The following is a 14774-nucleotide window of genomic DNA, read 5'->3' on the forward strand; positions in this document are numbered from 1 at the left end:
TGTTTTTTATAGGCTTATAAGGAACAAATAAAAAGAGAGAGTGTCTTGACTGCTACAAGCATTTTAAATAATCCAATAGTGAAGGCGCGATATGAACGTTTTGTTAAGGTAAGATTTTAGGGCAAAAACCTTTTCAATAATATTGTAGTATTGCAATAATTAACTGGTGACATAGTAACCTTTTGTGATACTTGAATATAGTATAACATATTAAGAAGAATTTTACTCAGTATCTTGCATATAGGTAAAACATCTTTTTTCCTAATTGTTGGGTTGGTCAAGATGGGAGCAGTGATTCCTCTCTTATCACCTTTGTAGCTCTGAATCAATGAGAAATACACAAGCATTAGATAGAAAATCAAAATGTCAGCTTTATTCTTGATTTAAGAAAAAATTGACTTGGAGAATATATCTTAGCTATGTAGTTGCTGTGGACTTTTAATATTTCATTTCTGAATTAGGTAGACTTAGATCCTCCCAATTTCTGTTACCAGCCCAGATGGACAGCAACAGGCTTCTCCTAGTTTACCACATGGCATAGAACAGACTAGGATGTACCTTTTCTGTCACTAGGAAGACCCAAAAGAGGGGACCCACAAGGGACTGTGTTGTGTCCACCTAGTTTTTTCTTCCAAGCATACTAATTGCATAAATCATTCCTTTTCCCTGCATAAAAGTTGGAGGGTAGCAGGAAGGTCAGATGTTTCTCCAGAAGAAGGAATCTCATGGAATTTGGCGGGCGGGAGAAGAGAGGTTTGCTTCTAATATTATGAAACTCAGATGTGAACAATTGGATATATACTCTTTACTCCTCAGGGTTTTTGCCATATGTTATGGCTTGAATCCATCTTTACATAAAATTTATGATAAACACTTACTATACAAATAAGAGCTTACTGTGATTTGGGAATAAATTTTAGAGGTTAGTCTTTTGGTTTTGTTGTGTTTTTACTTCTCTTATAATACCCAGACTGGTCTGATAGAAGTTATTTTTCAGTCTTTACAAAATAATACCTACCTTAAAATCATTATTCTACACTGAAGAGAGCTGTTGTGTTGAGGATTTACAACAGTGTGTTATTTACATTAGTAAGTATAGATTAAAGAAGTTTTGTTTATTTTGTCTATTGTGACTCTTAACAGCTACTCTGTGAAGAAAACCTGATACATATTTAGTGACCATTAAATTGTCCCTCTACCAGTCCTTTCCAAGCTAAATAATATTAGTTCTTGCAGCTCGTTCCTTAGGGGCCTATTTTCTAATTTGTTAATCTAATATTCGTTAATATTTGTCGCCATTTACTACATTCTTGACACTACTTTAAAAAAATGAATGCAGCCCTCAATTGAAATCCAATTTTATGAGAGGTATGGCATCAAAAAGAAGCATCATAGCTAAAGAAGGAAAAATTAGATTTTTATTCTTGCATTGTCACAAACTTCTGAGAAAGTGGTTTCTATTGATGTATGAAGATAATTTTTAATGAGGGAAGAATGCAAAATTAGAATTTCTATATAGTGTTTTCAAGTTACACAATCGAGTCACTTCATGGAATGAGAGATGTCACTGGTGGGAGTATCCTGCTCATGCACATGTTGTAGAGAACACACCTGAACTGAGAACTCCTCTAGAACTTTGTTACTCAGAATGTGATCTGTGGATCAGCAGTATTGGCATCACTTGGGAGCTCATTAGAAATGCAGAATTTCAGGTCATACCCAGGCCTACTGAATAAGAATCTTCATTTTAACAAGATTCCTGTTGATTTGTATGCATGTGAAAATTCAAGAAGCACTGGGGTCACATTACTCAATGATGGCCCTTTATTCAGCATGCCTGTCTGCTGTGTTCCCTGTTGTCATTCCCCAGAACATCTTCTGCTCATGGTCAGCTCTGGTCATGGCTTAAAACTCCTCCACTGTCCCTCCACTGTCAAGTGCTCTCAGTCTGATAAAATGCCCTTTTAAATCTTTGTCCCTTAGAGACACGGCAGAGAAGACAAAAAAACAAAACAAAACAACTTTGTCCTCATTGAGATAATCAGTACATCAATTTCTCTTAATTCTCCAACTGTATCATCTTGTTCTGCCTTCACTCCCTGCTCTGGGCATTGATAATCACCCCTTTCAGTAGGGAATGTTGCCGCTCTCAAATTCCTTATTAGTTCTAGCTCTACGGTTAGCTTTAATGTTTGTCTTGCTAAAAAATGTGGAATTGTGCGTGCCAGTCCTGTGTTTCCCAGATTTTCACTCAATTCACAATAATTTTACTTATTAACTACCAGTGTAATGTGTTTCCTGTAGTGACTCTTCCAACCTTTAATAACCTCATGTCTCAGATTTCATTCTTGCTCTCTTTGCTTCCCATATTCTTTTTCTTATATATATATATTTTAAGACAGAATCTTTTTGTGTTGCCCAGGCCAGAGTTCAGTGGTGCGATAATAGCTCACTGCAGCCTTGAACTCCTGGGTTTAAAGCCATTCTCCCACCTCGGCCTCTCTAGTAGCTGGGATTACAGGCACACACCACCACACTCAGCCACTTCCCATATGCTTATTTCTTCTCCTGCATTAGGGAGATTGAGACCATTAGATGTAAATTCAGTAAGTGTTCTCATTTCTGCCTTAGATATATCTTTCCTTCACCTTTATTATTTGTGAGGAAAAATCTTCTTTGCCTTTCATCTTTGTTCTAATTCCATCATTATTTCTTCCCTTACTTGCATCTGATTTTTTTCCTGTTTTTTTTTTTTTTTTTCTAATCTTCCTCAAATAGACATGCTTATGAGTTCCCTAAACCAAAAATGACTTAACTTTTCCTAGACTTTGGCCCACCCTATTTTATCATCTTGTCTCTTCCCAGCATACTTGAAATGGTAGTTTACTTTGCACGTGCTCTTTGCTTCCTCTCTATTATTCACTCTTTAAACTAGTAGTTCTCAACCAGAGGAATGTGTTCAATCACCCGTGAGGCTAAGATAAACAAAAAGCTGCCTAAGCCCTTTTTTAGGCTTTCTGAATTAGGGTTTCCCAAACTTCACTGATAAATATCTCCAAAAATGCTTCTCTTATTTTGAGACAGAGTCTCACTCTGTTGCCCAGGCTGGAGTGCAGTGGTGTGATCTGGGCTTACTGCATACTCCACCTCCCGGGTTCAAACGATTCTCCTGGCTCAGCCTCCTGAGTAGCTAGGCCACACCCAGCTAATTTTTGCCCGAAATGCTTCTTAAATATGCAAGTTACTGAGCGTCTCCCCTGGAAATTTTGATTCAGGCAGTCTGAGATTGATCCAGGAATTTGTGTTTTCAGCAAGAGTTCCAGTACAGACTAAATGAAAATCTCAGGGTGCTGGAATCAGGGCCTGTGGTTTTTGACAGCTTCATAGGAAATTTTAAAGATACATTCTTGGACAACTGCTGCTGTCTAACTGTCACATCATACTTTTGAAACTGCTCTTCCTAAGATTACTAATGTTGTCATTATCAAATCTAGTGGTCTTTAAAAAATTATAACATATTAAATGTATGAAAATAAGGGGATAGTACAATAAATCCTCAAGAACCCCCATTCTGTATTGATGATTAACTCTAGTGACCTTTTTCAATTGCTTTCTGCTTTTTTATATGTATCATTTGACACTGTTGATCTATCACTTATTCTTGAAACTCTCTTTTATCAGGTAGTCTTTTTACTGTCCTGGGTTTCCTCCTGCACCAAGTGTTCCTTCACTTTTTTTTTTTTTTTCGAGACAGAGTCTCGCTGTGTCGCCCAGGCCATGCAGTGGCGCGATCTTGGCTCACTGCAGGCTCCACCTCCTGGGTTCACGCCATTCTCCTGTCTCAGTTTCCTGAGTAGCTGGGACTACAGGTGCCTGCTACCAGGCCTGGCTAATATTTTGTATGTTTAGTGGAGTCGGGGTTTCACCGTGTTAGCCAGGATGATCTCAATCTCCTGACCTTGTGATCCACCCGCCTCAGCCTTGCAGGTATGAGCCACCGCACCCAGCTGTGTTCCTTCACTTCTAACTTCTGCTGCTCCCATGTATAGTGTAGGCATCTTCATAGGGTTTTTATTGCAGCCCTTTTTTCTACTTAATCCACCAGTCCCATCCCAGGGCCTTCCCATTTAAGACCCTGGCTTCACCAATGCACTCTCTGCAAGCAGGCAATTCGTAAATGTAAATATCTTATTCTGAACTCTCCTCTCTTTTGAGTTGCAAATTTATAGCTGCCTATTAGACATCTAGATATCTGAAGTTATAATTATATATATTAATAGCATATATACACTTCCTCCCCTTTTCCTTTCCGTTGGAATAGTGATTGTAATTTACCTGTTCTGTGAATAATGTCACCACATCTTTTACATTTCCCTGGTCTGGGATATTAGAGTAGCCTCCTCACTAGTATTCCTTCTTTTGGTTCTCTGCTTCATCCTACACATTCCTGTGTCATTCATCTTAAAGGGTAGTGCCAATCTTAATATTTTCCTGCTTAATAACCTTCACTGTTACTTCATTTCTTACTACATTAATATAGCCTTCTGATATGGTCAAATTTATATGAGATTTGATCCAGATATATAATTGAAGTATTAAAATAAAATATTAAAGTTGTTCCTGTGAATGTTTACTGAGAGGTTTGTCTACTTTTTAAAAGTAGAAGTAAGGCATGGTATCTAGTAGATTAAGCGAGGTACCTGATTTTCATTTGAGTTTTAAAGAGATTCTGTAACATTAATACTCATATAATTAAGCAAAATGTAAATCTTTGCATCATCCCTTTGTTTCTACCAAAAACCACACTTGTCTTTGTCATGTGTATATATGTGTGTGTGTGTGTGTGTGTGTATGATTATTTAGAAATACAGTTAAGGGGAAAATATGACCTTTAAGCATTTCAGTTATGGAGGATAAAGTAATGGCTTCAGTAAATTATATGCTCACATTGGTATGGAATGGACAGTCAACAAATACTTAATGAATTTGTTATAATTTACAATGAAAAGTTTCAAAATGGCATTTATTTCTCATGATATGGCAAGTAAAAATTTCACTTGCCAGATCATGTAATAATGAATGTGCTGATTTTGAAAGCCATTTCTTATGTTTTTAGGGTGAGAATCCTTTTGAAATTCAAGACCATTCTCAGGATCAGCAAATAGAAGGAGATGAGGAGGATGAAGAGAAGATTGATGAACCTATTGAAGAAGAGGAGGATGAAGATGAGGAAGAAGAAGCAGAGGAAGTGGGGGAAGTAGAGGAAGTGGAAGAAGTAGAGGAAGTGAGAGAAGGAGGAATAGAGGGCGAGGGAAATATACAGGGAGTAGGGGAAGGAGGGGAAGTAGGGGTAGTGGGAGAAGTAGAGGGAGTGGGGGAAGTAGAGGAAGTAGAGGAATTAGAGGAAGAGACAGCAAAGGAAGAACCTGCTGACTTCCCTGTTGAGCAACCTGAAGAAAATTAAATATAAGGTATTAGATTTAAAAGGAGCTTTACATTTCGGTTCTAATGTAAAAAAGGGTAAGAAATTTAATAGCTTAAAATATGAATTAACACCCATGTTGCATGCATTCCACATATTAAAATTTGTTTTATATAATTTCTAAATGTTTAACATTTGTTTAATAAAATGAAGGCAAAACTATTTTAGTTTAGTTTTTATAGCTACCAGACTTAGATCCGATAAATTGTTTGTATAATTTTTAAGCTTAATTTTTATTACTTTATTGGTGTTAAGGATAACAAATGTGTATTGTTAGTATATCTATTCTAATCATTTTATCTTAAATGCTGCTCTTGGGAGTGAATATTCAAGTGTGCATCAATTTTTTGAATACTTACCCTGGAAGATATAAACTGGGCAAGTATTTTGTGCTCTGTGTATTTTTTTACTGCATTAGACATTGAATAGTAATTTGCGTTAAGATACGCTTAAAGGCTCTTTGTGACCATGTTTCCCTTTGTAGCAATAAAATGTTTTTTACGAAAACTTTCTCCCTGGATTAGCAGTTTAAATGAAACAGAGTTCATCAATGAAATGAGTATTTAAAATAAAAATTTGCCTTAATGTATCAGTTCAGCTCACAAGTATTTTAAGATGATTGAGAAGACTTGAATTAAAGAAAAAAAAATTCTCAATCATATTTTTAAAATATAAGACTAAAATTGTTTTTAAAACACATTTCAAATAGAAGTGAGTTTGAACTGACCTTATTTATACTCTTTTTAAGTTTGTTCCTTTTCCCTGTGCCTGTGTCAAATCTTCAAGTCTTGCTGAAAATACATTTGATACAAAGTTTTCTGTAGTTGTGTTAGTTCTTTTGTCATGTCTGTTTTTGGCTGAAGAACCAAGAAGCAGACTTTTCTTTTAAAAGAATTATTTCTCTTTCAAATATTTCTATCCTTTTTAAAAAATTCCTTTTTATGGCTTATATACCTACATATTTAAAAAGAGAACATGAGCTTGATAGAGGATCTATTCTTAAATAATTTATTTTCAAACAACCGTCTATGTCACTAAAAAGTAGTGCTCTTATTTTTTTCAATCTTTACTGTGGCCTCTTTTGAGAGTAGGGTCCGTAGTTTTTTTTTTTTTTCTTTTTTGGGACAGGGTTTCACTCTGTCACCCAGGCTGGAGTGCAGTGTAGCCTCAACCTCCTGGGCTCAAGCGATCCTCCAACTTAGCCTCCCAAGTAGCTGGGACTGTTAAGTGTGAGCCACCATGCCCAGCTAATTTTTGTAGTTTTTGTAGAGACAGGGTTTTACCATGTTGTCCAGGCTGGTTTTGAACTCCTGGGCTCAAGTGACCTGTCTGTCTTGGCCTCCCACAGTGCTGGGATTGCAGGTGTGAGCCACCATGCCTGGCATAGGGGGCTGTATTTCAGTGAAATTAGAAAAGTTTTGAGGCATCGAATGGATAAATGGATGGATATATCAAATTGTAAGGTATTAAGTGGGTGAATGTATGGACATTTGTAGAATCCCACAGATAATTTATCTTTTTGTGTAAAATAAGGCTTTTAAAACTAGACTTTCTGAACCAATACAGTTTTTTTTTTTTGAGGTGAACTAGGTTTGCCTAGCTTTAAGCTAGCAATATCTGATAGATACTTGCATCTAATTTTAGGGATTTGGTGCCAAATAAGAGAAGGGTAGTTGAAGACTAGATAAATTTGGATACTATCTAGGAGTCTGTATTTACTTAGCAGGCTTTTGAAAGCCGTTTTGCTTAGGAGTTCAAATTTTAAGGATAATAGGACTTGTTACCCTCTTATTTCTCCTTTATTTTTAAAAATATTTGTGGAAGGGCTAAGGTAAAAGAATAATAAATTCCTCTAGGTTATTAGTATTTGGTTCTTCTGATACTAAGCTGAGTGATTTTTTTTAAAACAATGTCTCTGGTAGTCTGATTGAGATATGAAACTTTTGGGAAGAAAACCATTATGTAACAAGAATCCTATGTAACAACTGGGTAAATGTTTTAGAATGAGAGATAGGAAAGAACATCTAAATAGTACTTTTTTGTGGGACGCATGAGCCTTTATACAGCCTAGCTAATTTGCAAGGTAATGATAAATAAAAGTGTATTTTGTTACTGTGCTTAATTCAGAAATTCAAATTCATGTATTTCCTATTGGATAATTTGTAGGCGGGCAGTTTACTTTATAGTCAGGTTAGTTTTTGTGATCCTTAGTGTTTATATTTGCATTGCTTTTGTAATAAGGATGTATATAAGATCTTAAACGCCTTTCAACTTCTGTTTTCAAGTATCACTTGTTTTCTCTATTACAAAGTGAGATACATAGTTCTAAATAACCAAAGAAATTTATTTATAACCTACACAGTTGTTTCAGCTCCATGCCTAGGGACTATCCTGTATTATTCGCTTTTTATCACTTTCTACCTACAGTCTACCAAAAAGTCTGTCTGTTCTACTTCCAAAATTTATCTGCCGACTCTTCTACCTCCACTGCAACCAACCCAGTTCAAGTCATGATAATTTCTTGTTAACTAATCTTGATTCCACCCTTACCATGATAGATTCAGTTTTCTACACAAGTATAAGCTTTTAAAAATGTAATTCAGATGATGTTAATCTCATGCTTTTTTTTTTTTTGTACCTATACAGTTAGAACTCCTTATCATGTTGATCAGACTGGCCTAGCTTTACAACTTTATATCATATACCATTCTTACCAGCCATAATGGCCTTTTGTTACTTTTTTGATGAGTTCTTTCCTACAAAGACCTTTGCATTTTCTTATTCTATAGCCTATACCCATCAGCTTTCCTTGGCTGATTCTTCATCCTTCAGGTCACCTTAAATGTTAGAAAAGGGGAGTAGTTCTAAAATGTTTGTAGAAACGAGGATTTGGGGGTACCAACCTAGATTTTACTAGAGCATATTCTTTGGAGGTGTTCTTTTTTTCTACTTTTTTTTTTTTTTTCTTTAGGTTCTGTCTTTGTCATGCAGGCTGGAATTCAGTGGCACGATCATGGCTTACTGCAGCTTTGACCTCCTGGGCTCAAGCGGTCGTCCCGCCTTAGCCTCCCAAGTAGCTGGGACCACAGACGTGCACCATCACACTCAGCTAATATTTTTTTTGTAGAGATGGGGTCTTGCTTTGTTGCCCAGGCTAGTCTTGAACTCCTGGACACAAGCAGTCCTCCCACCTCAGCTTCCCAAAGTGCTAGAATTACAGGCATGAGCCACCACGCCTATCCTGGAGGTGATATATTTTTAACAAATATCTCACATGATTTTGAAGGTAGTGGTCAGTGATTGCACTTTGAGGACATTCATAGGGCCCTCATACAAATTTCTGGTGCCTGTAACTCTTCCCCTATCAAGGCAGGAGTTTCCGCCCTTTTGAATATAAACATAGGTTTGGGGGATTCTTCATAATACTTTCTGAAAGCACTGGAATCTATAACAGACCTGTGGGAGTCAGAAAATGGGGACTTTTCCCCCCTCATTTAATACTTACAACTATATTGGTAAGTTAGTAGGAGTAGTAATTTTCCCATATAATAAGCCCACTCTTGTACATGTAGAAACAGAGAAAAGAACTACAAAGGTAAATGTTAGTGCATGTTGAAATGTATTTAAGAACTCTGTTTTTGTTGGCAAGATTGTTCTTATTGTAGAAGTGGATATTATCAGATTATTTTAGATGTTATTCAACATTTGATTTATTTACCAAATTGTCCTTACTTTGAATATAAGCAAACTTTTTTATTGTGGTAAAGTATACATAGCATAAAATTACCATTCTAATCATTTTTTAATGTACCATTTAGTGGCATTAATTACAAGCAACCTTTTTTTTTTTTTTTTGAGACATAGCCTCACTCTGTCACCCAGGCTGGAGTTCAGTGGCACTATCTCAGCTCACTGCAATCTCTGCTTCCTGGGTTCAAGCGATTCTTGTGCCTCAGCCCTCCCGAGTAACTGGGATTACAGGCACACACCACCATGCCCAGCTAATTTTTTTGTATTTTTAATAGAGATGGGGTTTCATTATATTGGTTAGGTTGGTCTTGAACTCCTGACCTCAAGTGATCTGCCTGCCTTGGCCTCCCAAAGTGCTGGGATTATAGGCATGAGCCACCGCGTCTGGCATACAAACTTTTGATTACAGTTTGACACCTGTTGATGGACAGAAAATGGAGTAACCGTCCAGGCAGGAATGTTCTAGTCTGTGTGACAGTTACAGTTCATTTTATAAATAAACAATTGACTTTTTTTGGTAGTTATGGTCCCTACCCTCAGTGCTGTATCTCTATTTGGTATTCAAACAAATCCAGGGAATCTGCAAGGCTGAAGGGCAGATTCTTGGCAATGGTAAATTCAGTAGGTCCTGCCACCATTTGAGGCCTCCTCGGAGACAGCCATACTAGTCTAATCTCTTCTTGACTTTCCCTTCTTCTTTCCCAGTCCTCTAATTCCCAGAGGTCTGTTGTGAATTCTAATGCTTTCAGAAAATATTACGGAGAATCCCACAATGATAAAATTTCCCAGTTTTTGTTTTAAAACAAAGTTGAAAAATATTATATTAGGGGTCAGGGTGAGGTGCTGTTGATGGTGACAGATGGCCCCCTTGGCGACAGGGAAGTATGAAATAGCATGGAGTGTGGAAGGGTACTATGGGTAGCTTATTTATTAGATCAGTATAAAGTATAGATTTAAGAGAGTTAGATTAAAATGGCATGCTTGATTCAAGTCATTAAATTCTAAAGTTCTATTAAAATTGTAGAGGAGATACAATAATACAAATTTCAGCAATAAGGATAGATTTATAATCACACTAGGAAGACAAGAAGGGTGCTGTGAAATATTTCTAGAAGATACAAAACAAGGAATTAGATCTTGGTGAAACCAAGAGAGCCAAGGAACTGACAGCCACATGCCGATGATAATTAAAGAATTACCTCCAGTTGTAGAGACAGCTCTGAGATGGGGTGTCTGTAGTGTGCTAAGCCAGATTTTTGAAGGACTAGATAGTTATTCTGGTCTCTGACTCAGAGCTGCTGGTCCACAGAATTCCTCTAAGCTAAAGCTGTAACACAATTTGATGTTTGCCAAATAAGGTGAGACTCACAGAGTATATGTGCAGAGCATATAATGCAGAGCATACAAATAGGGGCCATCGAAGTGTGGCAATGCCCTAGGTATATTGTGATTACCACAAGGAGCTTTATTCCTCATACTTAGAAAACAAGCACACAAAGAAAAATCTGCCAGCTGTCTATTTCCCAATTTTCCTTCTGACTGTTCCTTTCTCCTTCCTCACACAATTAAAATGCTAGGTTTCCTGTAATCGCAATCTTCAGGGAATTTTTCACTCAAGCCCAGAAAATAAACTCCAGATAATGATACTGAGAAATTTATTGGTTGGAAAACTGCTATCTACAGGCCTTCCACTACCTATTTCTTAGTAGATTTTACATTTTTAAAGGGTTGTAGAACACCAAAACAATATATGACAGATACTGTGTTTGGGCCTTAAAGCCTACCCTTTATATAAAAAGTTTGTTGACTCCTAGGCTCTCATTTGCAAGTAGACAAATGAGAAACAGCAAATATTTAAGGAAAAGAGCAACATGAAAAATACACAGCAAACTTAACAAGCAGAAAGAATTCCTGGGGAAACAATTCAGGGGGAAAAAATGACCAAGTATAATTAGTATTATATGGAATAATAATTACTACTACTTATAATAGTTTCATATGTAATCCTCATCATATTATATGTCATAATCTTCAAATATTTTAGAGGTTATTGTACTAATTTTAAAAATGCAAGTTGCTATAAAGAAGTATCTTGGAAATAAACAGTTGTGAAAATAAACTCTGTTTTAGGCTGATTAGTTGAATAAACATGGCTGAGAATCAAATTACTGAGCTAGAATTTTGAGCTGAAGATACTTCCAGAGCTTACAAGAAAAGATAAAAAAGATGGAAGTTACAGTAAAAGACATAGATGTATCTCTTAAAGACATAGAAAACCCAGAACACCATCTGTTTAAAAATTAAACTTCATGAGATTAAGAGCCATATGTATAGAGAATTCACCATTGAATACCCTGCATATATCACAGTGCCAGGTAAATACTATGCAATAAATATTTTTGAATGTATGTATGTATGTTACAGTATAAATATATAGAGGAGTTCCAGAAAGTGAAAAAAGAAGTGAAGAATAGGAAAAAAAAAAAAATCTTCTGATGAAAGATTCATATTAGAAGTCTCCAGTGCTGAGCAAAAACAATGAAAAAGTCATGCAGGATGAATACTGACAAAATATGTGTAATCCCAAGCTTAGAAAAATCTCAAAATGTCTAAAGAGAAACAGTGTACCTATAAGGGGAAAAGAATCACATTGGTCTCAGACTTGTCATCTGTTCGTTGGAGTGCTACAACATACTGCTATTTTTGAAGTTCTGAGGGAGAACTGTTTTGAATTTAGACTTCTATCTTGAGTGAAACTGTCAAGAGTAAGGGCACAGCAAGGACATTCTACCAATTTTAGAACATGCAAGGATTTCAGAAATTAACTCATAAAACACAACCTGCACGGCATGGTATCAAATTATGTAAAGAAAAACTTGGTAAACAAGAAATTGTCAAATTTATAATCATAGCTACGTATTTGAACACAGCGCTTAGAAATTGTCAGATAAAGAGTTCAAAATAGAGGAAACATTTTGAATTATATAGTGCACAAATTTTAATAGCTATAGAATATTTGTTTTCAAATGCCATGAAAAAATGACCATGAAGCAAAAACCACAATATTTTTTTGTTTGTTGATAGGTAGGAATTCAGGGTCCATCCTGTCATCACAATGCAATGAAACAAAAAATTAGCAAGTGGATAGCAATAAATCAATTTTTAAAAATCAGACAAAAGAAAACACTGTCCTTGTAATGCTTGCATTTAAAAGGAAATAAAAACTTATGAAAGAGAATCTTTATTTTATTTAAGCAGTTCTAGATTATACAAAATGTTGAAACATCTCAATTTGGTCTCTGAGGCTAGCATAATCCTTATTCCAGAAAATTGTTCATCAAAGATAGCTATAGACCAGTCTCACTTACGAACAAATGTAATTTGTTGAAACTGGTCATGTTGAAAAAACATGACCAATTAAATATCCCAAAATAATGTGTCATGGTAGAGTAGGGTTTATCTGAAAACTGCAACATGACGATTATGTAACTCAATCCTTTAGGAAATTTATTACTTTAACTTAAAAAAAAATACCATAAGCTTGATAGATGCTCGAAAAACATTTCCTAAGATTGAACACATTCCAGATTTAAATTTTTCAGGCTGAGAATAGAATAAAGCCTTTGTAACTTGGCTAAGGACTAGGAAGGTCTTCCAGAAAGCTTCATCAAACATCTGCATTCAAGTCAGGATTAAGACAATAATGACTGTTGCCTATGCAACAATCATTTAACCCTAAGAAATAGAAGTATTAGGAAGAGAAAACATAGTCCTTATTTTGAGCAGTGTGATTGTAGAGACAAACATCCAAGAGAAACAGTTGAAAAACTATTAGAAATGACAAAAGGTAGTTTTGTTTAATAGTTCACCATGAAAATCTGTACTATATAGAAAATCTGTATATAGAATATAGCATTGGCCAATTGGAAATGTAATTTGAAAATCCCATTTGCAGCAAAACTTGGAACTGTATACTGTCTAAGAATAAACAATGGGAAAAATGCAAAATCCTTATGAGGAAAATGATACATTTTAATGGAGGAAATAAAATGCCTGAATAAACACTGTGTTCCTGTCTGAAAAATATTGTCTGTATGCCAGTTATCTTCAGATAATTCATAAATTACCATTCCAATTGTTACTTAGAGTTAGTAGTGGTGGCGAGAGAAAGTTAAAAATACCAGCTTCAGGAATATTGAAGTGTCTTTCTCATATATATAAGTTCAGATAGACAAGGCAGGGCTGGTGTCACCCTTCAAGGTGTCAGAGACTGAGGCTCCCTCTATCTTGTTACTTTGCTGTCTTTAAAACCTTATCTTTGGCCGGGCGTGGTGGCTCATGCCTGTAATCCCAGCACTTTGGGAGGCCAAGGCGGGCAGATCATGAGATCAGGACATCGAGACCATTCTGGCTAACACGGTGAAACCCCGTCTCTACTAAAAATACAAAAAATTAGCTGGGCGTGGTGGCGGGCGCCTGTAGTCCCAGCTACTCGGGAGGCTGAGGTAGAATGGTGTGAACCCGGGAGGCAGAGCTTGCAGTGAGCCGAGATCATGCCACTGCACTCCAGACTGGGCGATAGAGGGAGACACCATCTCAAAGCAAACAAACAAGCAAACAAACAAACCTTATGTTCAGTCATCCTGTGTATATTCCAGCCAATGGAGAGGGAGAAAAGGACTGTTCCCAGAAATTGTACCTACTTTTCTACATGAATCTCATTGCTTAAAGCAGCCACATGAATACAACTAGCTTCCAGGATGGGAATTGTGTTTATTCTATATGGCCATGTTCCTAGGCAAAAAAGCAGGGTTTCTATTAGAGAAAAAGGGGAGAATGGATGTTAGCATATATTAGTGTATTACTAGAAGTATATACCACTTAAGTTTATTCAGAAACTCATATGCAAAGTAAATAACCAAGAAATTTGTTTTACATGAGGAATATTTGACTTACATTTCTTACTACGAACATACAACAAAACTACAATAAGTATATCAAAGATAAATACATCGGTGAAACATTAAAGAAACAAACTCAAGTAATATGTAGATACATAGTTATATGTTAAAATCATGGGTAAAAGCCCAGGCACAGTGGCTCATGCCTGTAATCCTAGCACTTTAGGAGGCCAAGGCAGGCAGATCACTTGAGGTCAAGAGTTTGAGACCAGCCTGGCCAACATGGTGAAACTCCCTCTTTACTAAAGACACAAAAATTAGCCGGGGGTGGTGGTGCGAGCCTGTAATCCCAGCTACTTGGGAGGCTGAGGCAGGAGAATCGCTTGAACTCAGGAGGCGGAGGTTGCAGTGAGCTGAGATCGCACCACTACACTCCAGCCTGGGCGACAGAGTGAGAACCTGTCTTAAAAAAGGAAAAAAGAAAAAAAAAATCATGGGTAAAAGAAAAGGAGCCTATGAATGATTAAAAAAAGAAAAACAAAAACAAAAAACACAACTACCCAAGTACGAAAACAAAATGTAGGAAAAATCTTTTCTAATTTCAGAGTGGAGGTCTTTCTAAGCGAGATATAAACCCCAGA

At 36.4% G+C, this 14774-nt stretch overlaps 1 protein-coding gene across 6 annotated transcripts in view; it reads left to right on the forward strand.

Moving 5' to 3' along the window:
• The window catches only part of ZNF326 (zinc finger protein 326), a 40424-nt gene extending 27128 nt beyond the window's left edge, over positions 1–13296 (forward strand). For 4 of the 6 annotated variants that reach the window (NM_181781.4, NM_182976.4, NM_001320185.2 and 1 more), the window contains 2 exons: positions 13–108; positions 5117–13296. In NM_181781.4, coding sequence (NP_861446.2) covers positions 13–108; positions 5117–5464 — 444 coding nt within the window. In that variant the 3' untranslated portion in view covers positions 5465–13296. The remainder of the gene's footprint in view (positions 1–12; positions 109–5116) is intronic. The other 2 variants (XM_047418427.1, XM_047418429.1) reach the window with 1 other exon arrangement.
• Positions 13297–14774: the final 1478 nt, after the last annotated feature.

This window comes from Homo sapiens, chromosome 1 (assembly GCF_000001405.40).
Source record: "Homo sapiens chromosome 1, GRCh38.p14 Primary Assembly".
In the NCBI taxonomy this organism is placed as follows: Eukaryota; Metazoa; Chordata; class Mammalia; order Primates; family Hominidae; genus Homo; species Homo sapiens.